The 22,571-nt window shown below is 40.9% G+C and overlaps 1 protein-coding gene across 2 annotated transcripts in view; it reads left to right on the top strand.

Annotated features, from left to right (window-relative positions):
• Window positions 1–21,670, top strand: part of TRIM44 (tripartite motif containing 44) — a 155,233-nt gene extending 133,563 nt beyond the window's left edge. For both annotated transcript variants that reach the window (NM_017583.6, XM_006718254.2), the window contains one exon: window positions 10,021–21,670. In NM_017583.6, coding sequence (NP_060053.2) covers window positions 10,021–10,048 — 28 coding nt within the window. In that variant the 3' untranslated portion in view covers window positions 10,049–21,670. The remainder of the gene's footprint in view (window positions 1–10,020) is intronic.
• The last annotated feature ends 901 nt before the right edge of the window (window positions 21,671–22,571 follow it).

Consider the following 22,571-nt stretch of genomic DNA (forward strand, 5'->3'; position numbering starts at 1 on the left):
AAGTATATTTATTTATTGATCCTTTCTCTTTTTCTCTTTGGTAACTTGTGAGATACAGCAGCTGAGGCAACAGGAAATTTGAAGTCCAGCATTTTATTAAATCTTATGTTTAAGATTTCTATGGAAGGAAACTGCTTGAGAGAGATTTGGTTTCCATTATACACATGCCAAAAGAAGATGAGGAAACTGGGTCAGGTGGATTTCCTGAAGGTACAGGAAGCAGGGAAGGCAAGTCCTTGGGCTAATTTCTGCTTCTAACTCTCCACCCCCTGAAATTGCCTGGGCCCTAGTAGAGGGTATAGGAAAGGTTCCTTTCAGACCTCATCACAGGAGATCGCCAGTGATAGAAAATCCAGCAGCACTGGGGGGAGGAAAGGGAAGCTGGGGAAGGCCAATGTAAAGGCAAAGAAAAGGAAAAACTTAACTGGCCCCAGGGCATTTTTCTCTTGAAGTTCAACAGGAAACTGAGTAATGTAGAAGTTATTTTAAAGAGATGGAACAGATAGACCCATACATGCATATATATGCACACACTGTATCCCATGCCAGGTCATCTCCCTGCAGACACTTTGAAATTGCCCCGTTATTGGCAAGGGTGTGGGGAAAATGGGCATTCCTGTGCCGATGTGAGTAATGATTGTAAATCAATATAAGATTTCTGGAGGGTAGTATCAAATGCCTCTAAAACCATATCTCTTGTGTTCTTTGCAGAATATCTGATTTTAGGTCTGGGGAGGAAATAGCTAAGCCTGAAGGCTGTGTAGTGCTAGAAAGTAGGGAAGTGCTCAAAAACAAAAACAAAACAAAAAACCAGAAAACCGTTATTGATGGGGATATGTCAATGGAACATAGGACCCAACTAACAGAGCACTCAAAGGCCAAAGCTGAGCAGTTTGAGCAACAAAATAGTAATATTGGATTATAACCCAAAGAATAAAATAAACATCCATGAGTCCATTCTGATATAAATGATCAAATAAATAAATGAAGGAGAAGAGACAAAGCTCATGTTTGAAAGTATTCCACATAATGTATGTAGATATTTCACCCTCAAGGAGAGGGAACGTAACTCCTCACTCTTTAAGTATAGGTGGCTCGTAGTGACTTCCTTCCAGAGAATACACTGTGGGAATGGGAAAAAAGAGTAGCCATACCATAGAAAAACATGACAAGCACTACCTCAGCCAGGTGGTCAAGGCCACCTTCAACAGTGCTGTCATATTGATAGTATCAACCCTTGATATGATGTAATGATAATGGCACTTTACCTCTGTAATTTTCCTTCCAAAAGCCCATAACCATGGGCTAATTGTGAGAAAAACATCAGACAGCTTCCGATTGAGGGACATTCTGCAAAATACCTGATCAGCACCCCTCAAAACCGTCCTCACCATCACAAACAAGAAAAGTCTGAGAAACTGTCAGAGCCGAGAGGAGCCTATGGAAACTTAATGATGAAATGTGGTATTCTGAGTGAAATCTGGAGCAGGAAAGGGACTTTAGGGAAAAACTAAGGAAATCTCAAAATATGAACTTTAGTATGAAGGTATCAGTATTGGTTCTGTGAACCTCAAATATCTGAGACAGGTCTCAGTCAATTTAAAAAGTTTATTTTGCCAAGGTTAAGGACACACCCATGACACAGCCTCAGAAGGTCCTGATGACATGTCCCCAAGGTGGTCGGGGCACAGCATGGTTTCATACATTTTAGGGAGACATGAGACTTCAATCAATATATGTAAGATATACATTGGTTCGGTCCAGAAAGGCAGGACAACTTGAAGTGGGGAGGCAGCTTCCAGGTCATAAGTAGATAAAGGACAAATGGTTGCATTCTTTTGAGTTTCTGATTAGCTTTCCACTGAATCAAAGGAAGCAATTGGATATGCATTTGTCTCACGTGAGCAGAGGGATGACTTTGTTGTCTGTCCTTTGTGAGGGCAGTATGTAGCTTTTTTATCTTTGTAGCCATCTTATTTAGGAACAGAATGGGGGACAAGTTTGCTGATCGCGGTTCCCAGCTTGACTTTTCCCTTTGGCTTAGTGATTTTGGGGTCCCGAGATTTATTTTCCTTTCATAGTTCATTGGCAACAAATATACCATGCTAATGTATGATGTTCATAGTAGGGGAGACTAAGTATGGGAATCCTCTGTACTATCTTTGCAATTTTTTGGTAAATCTAAAGCTGTTCTAAAAATTAAAGCTTATAAAACAAATGCAAACATGCCTTTGGACCCAGGAGGAAACTCCTGGGAATTTTTCTTTGGAAATAACTAAGGATGATTCATCCACAATGATGTGTGTCACAGAGATGTGGGTAATAGTGAAAAGGTAGAAATAATTTAAATGCCCAATATTAGGTATGATAAATCCATACAAATCAATCATGATCATAATCTTACAGAAATATATTTCTTGATATGACATTCATGATTGATAACTGAGTGGAAAAAGCAGACTGTGAAGGAGACTGTCAAGTATGAGCTGATTTTATAAAAGATAACTTATTTTTATATATGTATAGAAGGTGTATGGGGAAATATATTTCACTGTGATAATGGTGATTATCTGTGGTGGTAACATAATGGAATTTTTTTTCTTTTTTATGGAACCAATACTTGTGTGTTACAGAAAGTAAAAAGCAACAAAAAAGAAAAAGTTACTCTTTGAATTAAAAAAATAAGGCTGTAAATGATTCTATTCTAAATCCAGCAGCAGTAAAGGACTCAGTCCTAAAGAAGGGAATTCTGAGAGCAGATGGGACACTGGCAACCTACAAGCCTGCCTGTTACTTCCGTTCAGTCACCTCCCTATTGCAGGGCACTGCCTGGGCAGGCCTGCTGGCTCCTTTTAATCTTCCATAGAAGTAGGCCATCCCCACACAGGTTCTGCCAAGTGCAAGAAAGGTAGCTACCTATAAAAACAGTAAATAGGCTGCAAGGTACATGGAGATCAATTCAAACTTGGCACTGTGGTCAGAGTGTGGGCCTGAGGTCATGCTGGAGACCCAAGGCTCTCTCAGAGGTCCCTAAATAGGTCTGGAGAGACAGAGTCAGCTGTGAGGGCTGAGACAAACTCAGGTCTGTATTTCTTCTTCTTCTATAGTAATCCTACTCATCTCTGGCATTTTTTCATCTTAAAAAAGCACGTGCTTGTATCTTCCATCTCTTCATGGTAGGTGTTAATATCCCATTTTTTCAGGTGAAAACATTTTGCCTCAGAAAACTTCAGAAAAGACAGGCTCATCTCTTACCCAAGTTCAGTTCATTTCTGGGGGTTCTAGAGTCTGATTGCTTAACCTAGTTCTATTATTTACAAGTCGTGTACCTTAAGCAGGTCTTGCAGCCTCTCTGGGCCTCATTTTTCTCATCTGTAGAATGGAGATAATACCAGAAGCTATCGGTGAGTTTATGTATATAGATGTCTTAGCACAGTTTGTGGAACATTGAGTAAGCCCTCTGTGAATAGTGGCCATTACTGAAAGAGAGAAGGCTCATAGGATAAAATAGAACCAGAACTAGAGAGAGAAGAGCCCTTCTCCTTGTGGTTTAAGAAGGAATTGCAGTGAGGCTAGAGCGAAGTCAAACTTTTTTTAAGACCCATGATGAAATAAAGAATCATGGGACTTTTGCTCATGGCAGAGCTTACTCTTGGGTCTGCACTAGGTAATGATCAGGCAGTACTGTGTCTGGAATTTATTCCTTCCAGTGGGTTCTTGATCTCGCTGACTTTCAAGAATGAAGCCGCGGACCTTCGCGGTGAGTGTTACAGCTCTTAAAGGTGGCGTGTCCAGAGTTTGTTCCTTCAGATGTTCAGATGTGTCCGGAGTTTCTTCCTTCCAGTGGGTTTGTGGTCTTGCTGACTTCAGGAATGAAGCCACGGACCTTCACGGCGAGTGTTACAGCTCTTAAAGGTGGTACAGACCCAAAGAGTGAGCGAGCAGCAAGATTTATTATGAAGAGCGAAAGAACAAAGCTTCCATGCTGTGGAAGGGGACCCGAGTGGGTTGCTGCTGCTGGCTCAGGTGGCCAGCTTTTATTCCCTTATTTGGCCCCACCCACATCCTGCTGATTGTTGTGCTTACAGTCCTTTAGCTAGACACAGAGCACTGATTCGTGCATTTTTACAGAGTGCTGATTGGTGTGTTTACAATCCTTTAGCTAGACACAGAGCACTGATTGGTGCGTTTTTACAGAATGCTGATTGGTGCATTTACAATCCTTTAGCTAGACACAGAAAAGTTCTCCAACTTCCCACTCGACCCAGGAGGTCCAGCTGGCTTCACCTCTCAGTACCGGGCATCAACCCAGTATTTGGGCCCAGCCAGAAAGAGGTGAAAGGACTTGGAACATTTAGGCCATCCTTCAGATTGTGGTGATGGGATAGAGAGGGGCACAGGAAGCAAAGAGAGACAGCTGTATGAATGAGAGCAAATTAATTAGCTCAGCAAGTCTATATGTTGGAGGGAAGCTTTCTTAGTTTTTGTCTGGTTTGGAGTTTTCCTAAACTTTGCTTAAAATGCAAGGCATCCTAATTTCCCAGATAAGGATACTGGGTCCTAGAGTCACACAGCAGAACCAGGACTAGAACTCTGGTATTTTCATCATGTTTTTCTCAGTTAGCCCAAAATAGACCAAGGACATTTTACTTTATTTTGTAAAGTTCAGATCCCTTAAAGCACAGTAACCTCCTTATTTTCAGCTCAGGCTGTTGGGGCAGGTGAGTGTGGGACAGAGGGGACAAAGAAGGCAACTCGCTCTGTCTAGTAAAGAAAGGTCCCTGGATCCGAGTGTTTAGTCTGTCTCCCCAGCAGTGCTGATCGCATATTTACTGCAACTAGGCAACCACTTCCTCAGATACTGAAAGTGTGAGACTTCCCAATTGGCTCCTTGTACAATGCCCAGGCAGTGTAATTTTTGGAGAATATTAAATCTATCTTTTTGAATTTCAGCTGACTCTAGCCTTCGTTCCTTGTCAATACCTCTTAATTCCACCATCCTCCTGAGTTAAATAATCCTTTTACAGCAATAATCAATTAATAGATAACCAAGAACTCAGAAGACATGAGTGATGCCAAGTCACATTAAGTTGTACTATATGCTTAGGAAAAGAAACTATTAAACTTGCAAAGTCAGAATGCCTGCTACCTGATTTATTAACTTCCCCTTTATGCCCCTAAAGCTCTGGGGACAGAAGCCAAAAAGCTAAGCTGCCTATATATGCAGCCTAACTAAAAAATGGTCACAGTGAAACACTGTAAAATGATTATGATAAAATATAATCATTTTATCAGCAGGTGTTTAGGGTCTGAATGTGGAGCTTATGGCATGCCTCTGACATTTCAGTTTCACAGGCACCACATCAGACAGTAAGCCCAACTCAGAGAAGGGATACAGCATTCTGCTTACTGGAATGCCTTAGTCTCATTCTGTCACCCCATCCCCTACCCACAACCAAGAAAGTGTTAAATTTCACACCATCCTCCTGGTCAGAATTTAGGAGCTCCCAGTTCCTTTAGCTAAACTTTTTTGTTTTACATCCCCTAAAAGAAATTTTAAAAGTATGTGCCTTTTTGCCCGTTTTTAAATTAATTCCTGAAATCATAGTATCAAGTGTAAATCGTTGCTAAGGGTGTGCTCACTGACATATTGTGTAGTTTATATGAGTTTTTATATATATTTTTGTCAAAACTTTGGCACTGTGAATTTAGCTTATTAAATTTACAAGCAAAGGTGCACTATATAATCTAATTGGCAAAGCCAATTTTGGTGGTCAAACCATCCAGCCAAATCAGACTTGCTTTCTGTCAGATTAAGTCTGATTTCATTTTTTTCAATACAAATAAACATTAGCACACACCTCATGATAACCACCTCACTTTTGAATTTGAAGTGTTAGATCGATGGATAGATAGATAAAACACACAGCCTTGCCAAGAGTTTCCTGCCTGAATGAAAAAAGAGATTGTCTCCTTTACTATTGCTTGCGGTTCTCTCATAGGACTCCTCTAAGGGAGACATTCTAAAATTGTTACATGCTAAGATTCAGAAGGGTGAGTGAGAGTAGCATTTCTGCGGAAGTGTGGGAGTATGGTGATCTGTAAAGTGGGAGTGGCTGAAACAAGAACCTTACAGAGCACAGGCATGTTTCTGAGAAGGTAAGTTTTAGGAAGCAGTATATATGGAAGTTAAGGATTTGGACATTAATTTTCTTAAAACTACCCAGGCCCAAATACTTCCTGGAAAGTAATTACATACCACAAGGGTATCCATACCCCAGTTTTAAGGCCACCACTTTTAGATACAGCAGTACCCTCAAACTAGATCAGTGACCGAGCTAAGGCCGGTTAACTAAACTTCACTCCGTATTTGTTCTCCCCAGTGTTTGGCAGGCATGACTTTTCTTGAGACCTGCCACCTAGAAGGGTCAGAGTGATACTCAGCCTTTCTAGTTAGTACCTGTATTTCATTAGGTCTGGGTTGTCATTTAAAAAACTCTCCAAGTGAGCAAAGCAGGATACTGTTGCTCTCCAGATATTTGAAGGGTATTTGGGGATAGGAACACACTTGTTCTGGAATGTAATGTTTCAGCTGCCAGAGCTAGGAACATTTGAGGGAAAGGCAGGAGGAGGCAGGTTTTTATTCAGGATAAGAAGGAAGGTGGGTTGAGGAAGAAGGGTAACATTTTTTATCATTTGTATTGCATAAAATACATAAAGCTTTCACAGTAACCCTGGAAGATAGCATTTCGATGAGGAAACTGAGATTCAGAGATGTTAGTGACTTACGTAAGATCCCACAGTTTATTAGTTAATAACAGGCATTTGAACCTAGTTCAGTCTGGTGACACAAAAGTAATTATGTAATGCTGCCTCTCTCATTGGTAAGTACCTGCTATAGAACGTGCTGTCTGCCTAACACCCTTAGTTTATTTAAAAAAAAAAAAAAAAATGAAACAGCCATTAACCTCTGAGTCCCACTCCAGTTGTAAGTCTAAGTGTGACTGGCAGGTGTTTCAGAGGAGCATGATAAGTGGCTGAGGTAGAAGGCTGTATTACTTCCCTTGCAGAAAGTGAAGACTTTTATAGACTAAGATAAAAATCTCATGAACAGTCAGGCATGGTGGCTCATGCCTGTAATCCAGCACTTTGGGAGACTGGGGCAGGCGGAATCACAAGGTCAGGAGTTCAAGGCCAACGTGGTGAAACTCCAGCTCTACTAAAAATACAAAAATTAGCTGGGCATGGTGGCATGCACCTGTAATCCCAGCTACTCAGGAGGCTGAGGCAGGAGAATCGCTTGAACCCGGGAGGCGGAGATTACAGTGAGCGAAGATCGCACTGATGCACTCCAGCCTGGGTGATAGAGCAAGACTCCATCTCAAATATAAATAAATAAAATGAGATAACCTCATGAACATAGATGAGCTTATATACAAAGTTTATATACAAAGTGAAGCAAGAACATTCAGGAGAGGAGATGATGCCTCACACTAATTATATTGTTGAACCCTCCAGGAGAGACGACATACAAGCTGAGCAAAGCTCTGTGTTATAGATTCAGTTATGATCCCTTTTCTTTTTCATTATTGTGAGAAGTGGGTTATTATAAAAATAAGATGCTTTCTTTGAAGGTACTGTTCTGGGAAGAAAAAAAAAAAAAAAAGGTTCTTCCTCCCTCCCCTGAGCCTGTATCTCACCTACTAGGCTTTAAAGTCCTAGAGGGCAACTCCCGTGTTCATCTTATTCATTTTTGTTTCTAGCATCATGACTTACACATGGTTGACAGTCAACAAATATTTAGCAAATGAAGTAATCAATAAATGATATGCCAGTATCCTAAGATCTCATGTTTTAAACTGTGAGATAAATTTCAGGCCCAAGAACACGTCTCTTTTAGGTTAACGAGAAAAGATTTTATCAGTTCAGACTTCAGACCTTTTCCCCAAGCCACTCTCCAAATATTATAGTAAAGAACCTGGCAACCAAAAAGAGTTTATTTATAATTTGGTTATTCCCAATTTGGCAAGAGAGTTGTTGACTTCTTTGAAAATATGATGAAAAGTATGTCTTCTCTCAGACAAAGGAACACACAGATAAAATTCTGTATACAATTTCATTAGGTCCATGAACGTTTAAACTATGTCTCACGTTAAGAATGCTAAAAAGTGAACTGCAGCTTAGGGCAGAGTCACCATGCTGCCCTCATATTTGAAATAAAACTGACAAGAGAACAATGAGAGCTTGCTTTGGATGTAATACCAAAGGGGGAGAATATGACGCCAGTTCCAGCTCTGCCTTGATTCTGGTGAGAAGCTTTCATAAAAGACCCTGTGTTCCCTTTGGGACAGATGCCATTAAATACTGCTTCTTAATGACAGCCCACTGTCCAGCATTTCCAGCATGCACCCTTCATCCCATGATTGTATAACCAGCAGGAAAGGGGAGTGGAAACAGGGCAGAGTTTGGAATGGTGAAGATTATTGAGTTGGTTCTTTTGGCTCCTAGCATACACTTAACTTGCAGGACCTGTTTCTTGAAATGTTTCTGCCCTTAGTGGAAGTTCTAGAAATTTGCTGCCTAGGATATTTTCCCTTAAAGTCTTTCCCAGATGGATGCAAAAGAGCACAGGTTTTATATAGACATAGATAATCCCTTGTGAGATGAAAAATTTCTAGGTAATAGCTGGGAGCTGATGTTCTACAGGCCTTTTCCTTTTCTACCAGCTTGACCACTTCAGACTTTATCCAACTGAAACTAAACCTTGAGTTTTAAGGACACAGACCTTACTATGTGACCCTAGGATTTTACATCTCTTAGAGCTTCACTTTTTTCATCTGGAAAACGGGGGATAATAATAGCCCCTACATAATAGGAAGAATGGGTGAGTAACACGTAATTCAGTGCCCCGGTCCACAGTAAGCACTTGCTCAAGCTGGCTCTTGTTACTATTTTAAGGGCAGTGACCTATAGAAGAGGATGGGGAGAAACTAGGCAAGTTTGCTACGTTTGCTTTTCTGAGTGTGCTCATTCCTGCATTTTCAGGCTCTACCTTCTCCTTGCCCCAGTCCCTGTACCAACAGTGTTCTCTCCCAGGTCCAAGCCAGAGGGGCTGTAACTCTGAGCAGCTGAGGTACTAGCCATGCCTGAGGGACTTGACAACTATTTGACCACTGAAACATCACTAACATCTGGAATAACCTGGCCAGGGCAGTAATGACTGACCAGTCCCTTCAACTGTGTCCATCCCTCCCTCCCTTTCTTCCTGTTGTTTGTATTTCACTTCCTTTTAAAAACCAATTATTTATTGAGCACCTCTATGTGCCCAGCCCAGTGCTAGTGCTAGATATACATAGTTAATAAAGTGTTGCTATTCTTATATGCTGTAGTCATGGGTAGAGAGAAGAGTAAATCGTAAACAAATAAATTATGTAATGTGATAAGGCCTATGACAGACATAAGATAGAGAATCACCAGGGAGTCCTACTTAGTAGAGTACCTTCTCTGACGAGGTGGCATATGTCCCTATGGCATGAGTTGAAATCTTGGATTTTTTTTCCAAGTGCAGAGTGCCATTGAGAGTGCAGATGGTAGTAGCTTCTCCTTGTTTTTTCTCTCCTAACAGTAGATGGCTTAAGGCTTAGAGGAAATCATACACCTGATTTTTACCAGCAATTTATTTTGTCAGTTAAGTTTAAAAGAATTATGACTCTCACCTGCTCCTTTAAATAGCTGCTCACGTACTGTATACCAGGTACTGTGCATTTTATATGTATTCTCTTATTTAATCCTCTAGTAACTCAAGAAAGTAAGTTTTATCATCATTCCCCCTATGGCCAGATAAAGAAATCAGAATTTAGAGAAACGAAGTAACTTGCCTTTGGCCATATTGCTCAATCATGGTAGTTAAGACTTAATTCCAGGTATGTCTGACATAAAGTCTGTGCTATCAACCAGTAGACTAGGCTGCCTCCCTTCTTGTGATATCTTAACTCACCTGGTTCTCCTTTTCCTTTGTAGTGGTGCCAGTGAAGAAGAGGACACATGAAGGCTTGCTACCCCCAGTGGAAAATCATCCCCTCCCCTTGTGTGTATGTGACAGCGTGTATGTAACGGCTTCTGATTTCTGTGAAAGCTGCTCAGCAACAAACGTACTTCCACCAGATGTGTCCCCAGATCCACAGCAGGCACATATCTCTCCAAGGGATGACCAGTTTTATGCTTACTGTGTGCTTCTCATCCCCTGGTTGTGGTAGGTCAAGGAAAAGAGCCCCTTTGATCCACCAGGAGCAATTAAGAAAGGTCCTTCAGGTAATCCCTCAATGGCTGCTTTGAACTTACTCAGGAAAGCCAGCCCCCATAATATTGTATTACCAAACAGTATCGCTTTGTTAGGAAGGATCTGGAATAATCTTGAAGGGAAGTCAGAGTTTTCTCCCTGCCTATTAACAAAAACCCAATTTTGTTCATATTGAAGCATGAAATAAATGAGAGCAAGGTAGGGCCAAATTAACTCTTGTGGACAGTCCCTAAAAGTCCAGTTCTACATTTGTGAAAATTGTGGTGCCATGAATTAAGATGGATGACTGGAAAAAGGTGTTGGAGAAAGAGTTAAAGATGAGGAAGAGATATTTTTAGTATATGAAGTTATCCAGGACTTGATATTCATAATTCAGTGCTGTGGAAATGAAAAAAATGATTGAAGAGGTGGAACGGAAATGACCTTAGGGGGAAAAAAAAGGACCAAAGAAGTCTGATTAAAAGTTGAAATCAGTATTTCTGAATTCAAATTGCTTGAATTTCCAAAATAGTCAGTAAAGGATCTAATAGAACCAGAATTATTTGGGTGAATTCTGCAGGTTTTATGGGCTTGTCACAACGTGAAGGGCTGGAATGTATATTACCAAATGGGAATTTCCATTGTAGGTTTTTGCTAGTCCCACCCCCATTTTAGCCTAATTTGGCTTAAACGCAGTATGGGGAGAATTGTTCCCATTCCATGTGTTCTGAATTCAGCTCATCTCCCAGCATATAGATATATCCTCCTTTAACTCCGACCAGAACCCTTCTTCCTGTGGCACTCCCCACCCATAGACCTTCAGATCATCTCCCACACCCTGGATCTCACTCTCCTCTTAGTAACAGAGACACTCCTGAGGTTGGACTTCCTTGCTTTTCTCTACTTCCAAATCACAATTTCTTACAACCAAGCTTTGTGCTCCCGAGTAAGCAGGGATGTACTAGGGGAATGTAAAACTGCAAACTTAAAAACCTGCATCTTCTTGAAGCATCAGTTTTACTTACCAAATGGTTTAGAGTCATAAGATGACCTATTTTTATATAAAAGTTATATTATAGAATAAAATGTTCATACGCATAGACTGTTAAGATAAAAAAATAGGAATCTTGCAAGGTAATTCTTATTTGCAAGTGGGTTATGTGTTCACTCTCCTCTACCTTTATGGTATTTTGGTGTTCACTTACGAAGCATACAACTAGAACCATATCCAAGCAGACTCTGGGTTGCTGTTAACCCAGGGCCTAGACTTCTAGTGCCTCTGAGGCAGAACCAAAGGAGCCTGCACTGGGGGAAATCCCTTTTCCTGCCTGCCTGTCTGCCTGTGACCTGTGTACGTATTACAGGCTTTAGGACCAGCTGATTGTTATGCTTGCAGGATGGTTTTGAAACAGAAACAATACTTGTTTACTGTAGGAATCCTATTTATATTATTTTTCAGTCCTGTGAATGCTGTGAAAAGATTTATTCCTTTGAGGCCAGGAAGCTCCCAGGCATATATGCTTCTAGGTTAGGATTGTCCTGACTCACTAAAGATGCCAGGATATTGGGGCTGAGGGGAGTTTGAGGTGTTAAAAAAAAAAAAAAAAAAGCATTTTTCTCTCAAACTGATGGCCAAGAAATGGCTAGGACAATTTTGGTGCTTTACCTATCTCTGCAAAGACTGGAGAATTTGGCATACCATTAATTACAACCACCAATCATATCCAACAAAAGTACCCTAAAAGAAGGACCAGTGGCCACTCTCGAAAAAATTTAAGTATCAGAAGATTAAAAAGATTTTAGGATTTGGAAGCTTGTATTGTCTTTCCCCAATAATCATTGTTTGATCTCCAAATAGTAGCCTTATATTAGCAATAGACAGATCATTGGTTCTCCATATCTGATCATATGTTACTACTTTGAATCAGTATTTGGGAAATTCAAGCATTTATGCAGTGGATATAAATGGAAATATAAAAATATTTGCCAACCTGTCTCAGTAACTTATCATATCTCTGTGATCCTCAAGGAAAGCACTTTTGCTTTTACTTAGAAAGCGTTTCAGATTTGCTTTATAGACTCCTGCTGTCTTCAGTACCTGATAAAACTTTAACCAGGGAAGCATTAAACACAGTGCAGCAGCTTTTGCCCAGGCTTCTAAGTTCCTGCCGGCAGCATTTATCAATGTAAGAACTAGGATGCTTCCTGCAGTGGCACTACCTTCCCCTAGAGCTGGAGCATGCTGCTTGGCCTTAAGCCCCAGCATGATGAGGCTTCCCTCCTGCCAGGTCAGTAAAAGTTAGAGAGCTCAGAATTGGGTCTTGCCTGGGTGCAGGTGGCAGGGTTTGCTGAAACCCCTAAAGAGAAGTCACCAAGGGAGGCAGGTAATGAATGTTTCCAGAATCAGTCGGATACTCATAGCAATTTCTGGCTATCTTTCAAATGTTGAATTTCTGGATGCTGAGAGGGACTTTGATTTGATATCATTAAATCCAGGACAGTCCCAAGAAGTGCTTGGAGTCTCGGCTCTGACAGCCCAAGAAGGGAAATAACTTGTATTAAGGAACAACTATGAGCCAGGCCCTGAGCTGTCTCTTAGATAATAAAACAGATGGGGAGTGGAAGAGTCATTTGCTTCAAGTTATACAGCTAGGAAATACTCAAGCCAAATCTTGAACGCAGCTCCCCCTAATTCTGTGGACAGGCACTTTGTACCACACACCATGGTCCACCTAAAAACAGAAGGATAAAAAGACTTCAGGTTTTCCCACTGTGTGCTGACCATCCCAATTTATGAATCTTCTTCAAAATGACATTTCACAGTTATAGTTAGGGCTCAGAAATGGCATTGAGGTAGCCTTATTTCTCCCCTTTAGCAGATGCTTTAAGTACACATTGCTGACTTGAGCCCACCCCCAGGAGTTAGGAGAACATTTCCTTTTTCATGCCATCTTCCATAAATAAGGTGTTTCTTGGCCTTCAAAGATATAGAACTTTGCAGCAGTAGTAAAAGTGAAGGGTGTTCTGCTCTCTACTCAACTTTATTTGAAAATGTCTGCAGCTTCACTCCTGTAGAAAAGGAAATCTTCATATTTTAGTAAACTTAGCCGCCAGTGTACTCTGTGAGGATGTGGCAATTCAAAGTCCAGTGAATCTGGACTCTCTTACTGATTCCTGGTTTTAGTGTGTGTGTCGGGGGAGTGTGTACCTATATATAAAGGACAAGTGTGATATGTGTGTATATGTATATACATACATACATGTCCGCACACACACACACAATATTTGAGAGCTAAGGAAAACTCAAAGCAGCCCCTTCATTATCTTGCGTACTACTTCAAAGATTTCTGTCAGCCCTAATTACAAGTGTCACCATATAGTTGGGGCTTAGGTACTTGCTTACAGGAAGAGCAATTCCCTAGCAAAGGTCATTAGCTCCTAAGGCACTGAGTCAAAGTGACAGCCCTGAAGGAAATTGCACTCCAGCCCTCCTCCAGGATGTCTAATAAGATGGGAAACTTGGATGCCCAGCCATTTTGGTGACCTGAGAGTCTAACTACTCCAGTTAGACCTAAGGGCACAAATGCAGAATTCATGACCTTGTAGTTGTGGCAGGGTCTAGGAAGTCCTCTCTCCCCAAGTAGAAAATATTCTCTTGCCATTCCTGAAATTCCACATTCATATAATGGCTGTGCAATACATGCTTCTCAATAAGAAAATTAACTGCACGTTTACTGTGTGCTGATCACATCAGATTTTTATGTTTAAAAAAATCTCATTATGGATTGAGTCCAGCCCAGCTCTAAGAGAAAAAGAAGGCCCATATGGGAGACTTCAGTCTCATTATTATTGCCTTTATCCAGCAGTGCTTATGAAGCCCCCTACCCTGTCCCATTCCAGAAACCATAAGACTCAGGCAGTTCTTGATTCTGGAGGCCTGCCTGGTAAGATAAGATAGTATAATTTGGAACTGAGAACATACCAGAAACAGCAGAACGAGGGCCAGAGCAGAAAAATGAAAATAAGTGGAGACACTTATGGATACATTGGTGCAAAAAAAGCCACGGAGCCCATACTGGGCTTGATATGACTTTGAGGGGACAGCAGATTAATACTTAATGAGGGTTAAACCTGACCAGTCTTTCTACAGTGACAGGCCACACTGCATGAATGGGGAGAACCAATGAATCCATTGTCCTCTGCCTATTTTCCTGTGCACAGTCACATTCCCTCCTTAGGAATCTTCCCCTTCCACCCTTTACATTAAACAAGGGAACACTGAATCTTTCAAGGGAATTACACGTTTGGGTTAATGTTTCAGTATATCATTTTCATACTGTAAATTATTTTGTAAGAGAGATTTACTGCTATCCCAGGATGTTCGGACTTGGTGCCCCTGTGCATTTGGAAATCAATAAACTATTACTGGAAATGCCATTTGTCTCTCAGAGTTGTGCACAAAGGACCCTGCAAGGTGTAAATATTTATGACGAGCTGCATACTTGACTGTGGTAATGCTGGAGATGATGGTGTTTTGGTTACTAGATGTGGGAGTCTAATTTACTCCTGACTTTTCCACAGTGCCTTAGGAGAGAGCTCTGGGAAGTGGCAAAAGAACAGACTTAAGATCATTATTATTTAGTGATAAGTTTTCTCCTCAAAGTAAAATGATCCAGGCCTAGATTACATTTTATGAGCAACTTAGATTATAACCTAAAGAATACTTGGTGCCAAATTATGTTTTCAAATAACATTAAAGTTTTAGAATTTGGATGAACTAGAAGGAAGGTAAAATTGTAATTTTTGCCATATTTTCTAGAAAAAAAAATGTCTTTTAGAGCAAATTACAGTTAGGCCAACAAAATCTTTGTTTTGTGAAACTTTAGAAATACATATTTGCATGTAATTGATGAAAACATAGAATGAGTTGTAAATGAAGCAATTCCAAGCTGGTTTGAAGGACCAGAGGTTGCATTGAAATCAGAAGTCATATACTCAGAGGCCTTCAGGAGCCAAATGTGAAGACTCAAGATGGTAGATACTGTGTGAATTAGAAAATACCAAGCCCTGCCTAAATGCATTAAAATTTAATGTTTAAAAATCCTAAAACCCACCAGCAGGTGTATCTGGAGGGACAGTTTGTGGACTCTCCTCTAAATTTTCTTTTAACACATTTATCTTCATCAGACCCTTTTAGTTAGCTAGGGACTGTGTGAGAACCTTGAGAAAATTGTCCAAGAGAGGGAGATAAGTCACTCAAGGTCACCCAACAAGCCAGGCTGGTAAAGCCCAGGACAGCAGACTCTCTGTCTCCGAGAGCAATCATTAGGCCCTACTTCCTCTTCCCCAGTTGCGGAGGACACTGCTGCCTGGTGGGGTGGCACTGCCTGCCACTGTAGCACTTAGGAGTCTTCAGTGTTTTAACAAACCACAATGTGTTTGGAGGTTTTCTTCCCTGCTTCCTGGTGCCAGTATCTCAACACCACATCCATTGCCCCAGCCCTTTCTTGTTTTATCTTTCCCTCTGAAAGCTACAACTCTATATTTTATTTTATTACTCTTTGTTTGGTCCAACATGGCCCCATTTCCTTTATACTCATAAAAAGGTAGAATTTCAGCTTGTCTGGAATATCTCCTGGCCTTCACAAGGCACCAGAGTTAGAGACACCCAACAGAAAGTCGTAATAAGAGAAGATGTCACAGAAATAGAAACAAAAGCAAAAGACTGCTTGAAGTCAGTAACAGACTGCACTAAGTGTCTGTGCTTGTTAACTATTGTAATCTCCAGGTTTAAATCATTCATTTATGTTAATAAGAGCTGTCACTTAGCTCTTTCTCTGGGCCAGGTACTCTCCTGTTGTTTTTCACATTATCATAATAGTAACAGCACCAATACTATCATTCCCCACTTTGTTGCTCAGGAATCAAATTTAGAGAATTAAGTACTGTGACCACGGTTACACCCTAATAAGCGGGAAGCCAGAATTTAAACCCAGGTCTAGCAGACTTCACAGCCTCTTTCCTTAATCTCTTCTCTCCTAGCTGCACTGATTCCATCTTGTATTGGTGAATAACAACACTGATCCCCCTACAACTACCCCCACACATGTACAGTATGGCCTTGGGGCAAAGGAGTTTGCCTTTTGCAAAGAAGGTCTTGCTTTGTATAGCCTGTAAAATGCAATGTACAGTGAGGGAAAGAAAGTCTAAGGGTAGCAGTCAAATCTTCTGGCCTGAAACTGTACTTTTGGAAGGGAGAACTGTTAGACTTGCTTTATCTTCTTTATTCCAAGGCCATAAATAAGAAAATCAACGAGAGGCAAAACCATGTCTTCTTTTGCTATAGCGTTAGAATCCTGAAAGTCAGCCAGCTCTGACACTGAGTCTGTGATTTAATTAAACATGTTGAAGGCTCTCCAACAGCTTGACGTCAGGCCAGCTTCATATTCTTGGAAAGGGACAACAGCAAAAGGAGCTTATCTGTTTTAAAGTTCACTTACTGAGTTCAGCTGTCACGGCCACAGCATACCATTTGCCTTATAAAAATGGCCCACAACCTTCACAATATTTTAGGATTCATGGCAACTCATTTACCTAGGGCTTAGCCACCTGATAGCTTTACCTATCCCTATTTCCTGAACACAAAATCTAAACCAGTGGTTTGACAATGAGTAACTGAGACAGAACTAGAAAAATCTAGAACCTCTGCTGAACCCATCAAAAGTGACTGAGAATTAAGAAGTAAGCAAACAAGGCTTCCAACCAATTGAAATAAATACCATGAAGCAAACGCATAAGACAAAGGCCATACATCTAGTCATCAGGCACCTCCTCAGAACCTATTTGCTCTTCCTTCACACATATTTCTAACTGTAAAGGAAAGAAACAGACTTTTAGAGGAAACAAGAAGGAAAAAGGAGGACAGCAATAGAGAAAATGGAAATTTTGAGTAGACTGCAAAGCTCCAAAGCCCTGATATATGGGTTATTTAGTGTCAAAAACAGTCTATACACATCTCAATCTTTAAGAGCCTCACTGTATCATGGGACAATATTCTATTTAAAATGATGACCCTGTGCACCATACATAAAAAAACTATGCTTAGAAGACAAAAATATGTATATCAAACATTTTAGAAATATTTACATCCCAATGGTTAAAAAAAAAAACTTTTAGGAATTAAAAGGAATAAACCTTTGACCATCCAGAATATTTAGCTAAATCAAACAGTGTATATCCCCCTAGCTGACTTTTATTGTTTCATGAGCCTCTGGTGTTCAGAGAGTTTTTTTCACAGCTTTGTAAGTGACTTTCATGCTACAGTGCTTTGCATATAATGGCATGAACAGTGGAGGTGCCAACTTTCCAATGTGATGAATAAAACTAATAACTAGAATACAGATCAAATTCTGTTACAACAAATACTGCTACCATAAAAGTCACTTAAGCATCCCTGTTAGTTCTAAGCCCCTGTCGATTGCCCATTTATTTTAGGCAATAGTCATTCAACAAAATTGGAGCATAATAAAAAGAAACTGGACCTCAGCGCAAGTTGAGTGTTACACAATTTAACCTGTAATAACAGGTTCTCACTTGTATTTCTCCAGCTCTTTGCTGTAAGAAGAATAAACGTTATGTAGATATAATACCAGCGTGACAGCTTGTGGTTGGTGGTTTCTAGAAGAAATAATTCAGAAGCAAAAGACACATGAAGTTATGTGGCAGTTCCTCACTAGGGAATTTGGTCTCCAGGGCCACTTTTGACCTTAATCCATGTTGGAGCCATCAATCAAAGAATTGCTTGCATCTAATAATGGTGTAATGCCAATACTAAGCCCTGGAACGAAGATAGGATTCATTTCTCATGGATTATTGAGCACTCTGGGGTAACCTGGCCCTGATCTGATGACGCTAAGATTTAAAAACCCAGATGCATGTGACTAGAACTATCTTTTCTCCCATGATGCACTGCTTTCAACACTGCATGACTGTAAAAACATGTGCCACGCTGATTATATATAGAGATGGTCTAAATCAGCTGCATCCCATTTGGTACCCAGGCAAGGATTTTTCCATACCTATCTTTTTGCTGGTGGTAATGATGAGTTTTGTCACTTGCTATAACATTCTCTGTCCGTCTTTTTTCTTTTATGTAAATACTTTTGTGACTTCATTGTAACCAGCATTTTGTAATACTCTTAACAGCAGAGGGGATTAAATCATGATTCACTTCTGAACAGTACAATCAGCAGTAGGAAAACGAGGAGGGAGGGAGAGGGAAATTGTCCACCACTTCCCAATGATAATGCCTGGCTCGGACCCCAGATTCACATCATACTTGAAGTTCATAAATTCTGGGCACTGCTCAGCTTGAGGAGGCAGGCATTGCTCCTTCATATTTCAGGGTGAGACAAATGCTCTGTTGAAGCCATGCCACTACAGGATACATTCACCTCTGCTTGCTTTCCTCCCTAAGCCAGAGTGTAGTTAAACATTTATATGTCCCAGGCCAGGAGATCAAATTAAGAGGAGGTTAGCTACTTTCCCTGGCTCTTAAAAACATTTGAGTCCAAGTATGGTTCTCTGGCTTGAGGGTGGCCATTTGTTGCCTCACTGTTTTTATTAGGACATCTGGAGATTAGAGGTGTTAATTGGAAGTAACTTTTCTATATTTGGTTTCTCTCCACACATTATGAGACCTTTTAGACCCAGTTGGATGGCTGTATCCTAGTATGAAATTCAGCTTCTAAGTAGGAAGAACTATGATAGAGGAACAAGATTGCTCTTTGACTTGGTGATAGTAGGGCAATAGGGAGTGTCAGTAGGGTAGTTTCAGGTGGGGAGGATGACAAACCACTGATAACAATAAAAATGGGTATTTCTCAACACTCAAGCCAATTTCCCATTTGATAACAAGTAGGTTCTGATCTATTTTCCCCAAATTAATATTTTCCCTGGAAGATTCTGACCTGTCTGATCAAATAAAGGCATTCCTCTGAGAGTATACCTAGCCCACTTGTGGCCAAATTATACTTGACTGTTATGTACTCAAAACAAGCTTTCCTGTTAATCTCTTTCTCTTACCTCTATTATGAGGACAAGACGTGGAAGAATTAGGTCACCGGGGCATCTGCCATTGCATATGTTTAAGTGGTATAAAGAAGCCAGGATTCCTAGAATGGTCTGTCTTTTGCCATTTCTGGGACAATGAGAAAATCCATCTGGAGTGTTTATGCCCCTCTGAATAGCCAAGTCATGGGCTTGTTTGCTTTCAGTCACTGCCTTCAGAAAAAGACAATTTTACAATGACTTACTTCTAATAATCACTGAAACAGCCTCATGAGGACATGCAAAACTGCTGTCTATCTTCAGACCTGGCCCATTGTCAAATGGCAGACTTGCAGAGCAAATAAGGGACCTGGCCTAGTTCACAAGGCAGTCAGAAGTGATCCAAAGTTCAGGCTCCCCCTCCCTTTTATCACTCCACCCTGCCTCTACTCCTCCGCCTCCTATTCTTCCGGCCTTTCCATCTGGAAACCATGAGCCTCATGGATTCCAGGCACAAATTCTCAGATTTCAGATGTTTGGGAAATTTCTCAGCTTGGGTCATTCTTCAAGAGTAAGAAATTGAATTTGTGAGAAAAAAAAACAGCTGAGACTGTTTCACAGAAGAGAAAATAAATAAGGTGTGGTGCGTATCCATCCTCTTCCCAACTCAGCTCCAAAACCACACACAATGTCTAACTTCAAAAAGAGTATTTAGATCCCCCCTGGGAAGGAACAGAATGGAAAAACAATCTCCACTCATAAAAACACTTTTCTGCCTTCTACAGTATAAACACAACTGGCATCAGATAATACAATGTAATTGATTTTATGTGTGTAATTGGGGAACAGAAGGGTCTCTAGAGGGTAGACCTAAGAGTAATGGAATGGAGTGAAAAGTAAAATTTAGACTAAATTGTTGGGAGGAAACTGTTAACATTGTGAACCACTTGACCCTAGTGTTGCATCTTCACAAAAAAGAGCAATGTGCCGTCTTCTGTCTTTGGAAAATGGGACAAGCTTGCTCCTGATACTAGGTTTTAGAAGCATACAGACTTGGTTTTAGTACTGGCTTTGTTCTTTACTAACTCTGAACAATTAAATGAGCAGATGGTCTACAGGGCTTAGTACAGTGCCTGACACATAGTAAGCACTTAGAAATGGTAGCTTCTGACTGTTGTGCTGGAGTCCTGTTAGAGATTCAGTAGATGGAGCCACCTTCATGTTGCCCCTCACTGAGCTGCTCTGCTCACCTCTAGATGCTCCCCATGGCTGTTTCATAGCCCTCTGTACCACATCCCCATGTACTTTTTCATATCAACGGTAAGTACCTCAAATTACCGTATGTATTTACTTGTTCATAAGGTTGATGTCTGTAACTCTTTGAAGGTTGTATTAGTCGTTTGCTCCTATATTACTAATGATGACAAAGTCGCCTGACAGAGTAGATGTTCAAATTTATGGACTTAAACTGACTGACATCTTGATAATGCCCATATCCAGAGGTACTCCAGATATTATATCTTCATGCAGAAAACTGAAAGATACCTTTAGCTACATCTACCCCAGAATGAGTGTCCAAAGCAGGTGGCACCACCAAAAGGCACCTTCTTTTCCCATGAAAAGAGGGAAGAGAGTTGAGAAGCCTCACTCCCATCCCTGCTCTGCCACTGACAAGTTGTGTGGCATTTGGCACATCATGTTCTCTCTCTACATGCGCCTAAAATGACGGGTAGGGTCAGAGACATTGGAGGATCTCTCTTTTCTCTTCCACCTCTAACACGGTAAGATCTTAGCAAAGTAAAAAGGACAGTGATAACAGAAAAATTGTTCCTCTAAGAGTCCCAAGTCATCTTTTTTCTCTCCGTGTGTGTTAGCATTTGTGTGTGTCTGTGGGTGTGTATGCATGTGTGTGGAAGCTATACAAGGAAAGCTGAATCCATATGTAGACTTCATGGAGACTAGTACTGCTCCAAATGTGCACAAGCCATGTGATATGGTTTGCCTCTGTGTCCCCACCCAAATCTCATGTTGAAATGTAATCCCCAATGCTGGAGGTGGGACCTGGTGGGAAGATTGGATCATGGGGGAGTTTTCTCATGATTTAACAACATCCGCCCTTTGTTGTCATGATAGTGAGTTCTTGTGAGATCTGGTTGTTTAAAAATATGTGACACCTCCCCCCACCTTCCTTCTGCTCTGGCCATGTAAAGTGCTCACTCCCCCTTTGCCTTCCACCATGATTGTAAGTTTCCTGAAGCCTCCCTAGAAGCTGAGCAGATGCCAGCATCATGCTTGCTGTGCAGCCTGCAGAACTGTGAGCCAATTAAACCTCTTTATGAATTATGCAGTCTCAGGTGTTTCTTTATAGCAGTGAAAGAACGGACTAATACACCACGAAAAAAAAAAATGTACCACAGTCAAATAAACTGGGAAGCAAAACAGTGGGCCAAACAAAGTTAAATAGGTTTCTTCCCTGTAGAATTTCTGGGAGCTTTTAATATGTTCACGTGCATTGTAGAGCTTTCATGTAACAATTTTCTAGTTTTCTGGCAGTTCTGTGTAACAATTTTAGGAAACACTGATTTAGAGATGAATCTAACTCTTCCTGAGTTAACTGTTGAGAGAACAAAGGCCCAAAGAGATTCAAGGATTTGCTTAAGGTCACCTGGCTATTGGGAAAGCTGAGTTCTCCATATTTGACCACTGCATCCCAGAAGAGAATGTCTGTTTAGTGACTCAAGAGCCCACATTAGAACATTCTAGGAGACATCCCAAGGTTTCTCCCTTGATTCTAAAGGGAAGAGTTTGATAGGCTGCAATTCTCTGTCTCAGGACTTGCACAGACATTAACGTTCAGCATAGTGCAAGCTTCTTTGTCAGTGTGGTGCCGTCGGTAATATGGGGTGCAGCGCTGACAAGCTATGGTTCTCTCTCTCTTCCTCTCTCTCTCTCTCTTCTTTCCTCCCTCCCTCCTGGTTCTCTTTTCCAGGTTACATTCCAGGCTCACTATTGTCATACTCTTGAGTGATAGTAAAGAATAAAACAGCACTGACCTGCTTGATTAAGATCTCTACCGCATCGATATACTGATCACCAGGGTATTCAGGTGCCCAGTAAGCCTTGTGCATGGGAAGCCTCTTGACTCAAACGAATGGTGACTGGGAAACTGAGGTGGAAGGCCACTAAAGGTGGCAGTTTGTATCTGGCCTCTTAACAGTGTTCACCATGAAACATTCTCAAATGC

The sequence above is a fragment of the Homo sapiens genome, chromosome 11, assembly GCF_000001405.40.
Source record: "Homo sapiens chromosome 11, GRCh38.p14 Primary Assembly".
NCBI classification, from domain to species: domain Eukaryota; kingdom Metazoa; phylum Chordata; class Mammalia; order Primates; family Hominidae; genus Homo; species Homo sapiens.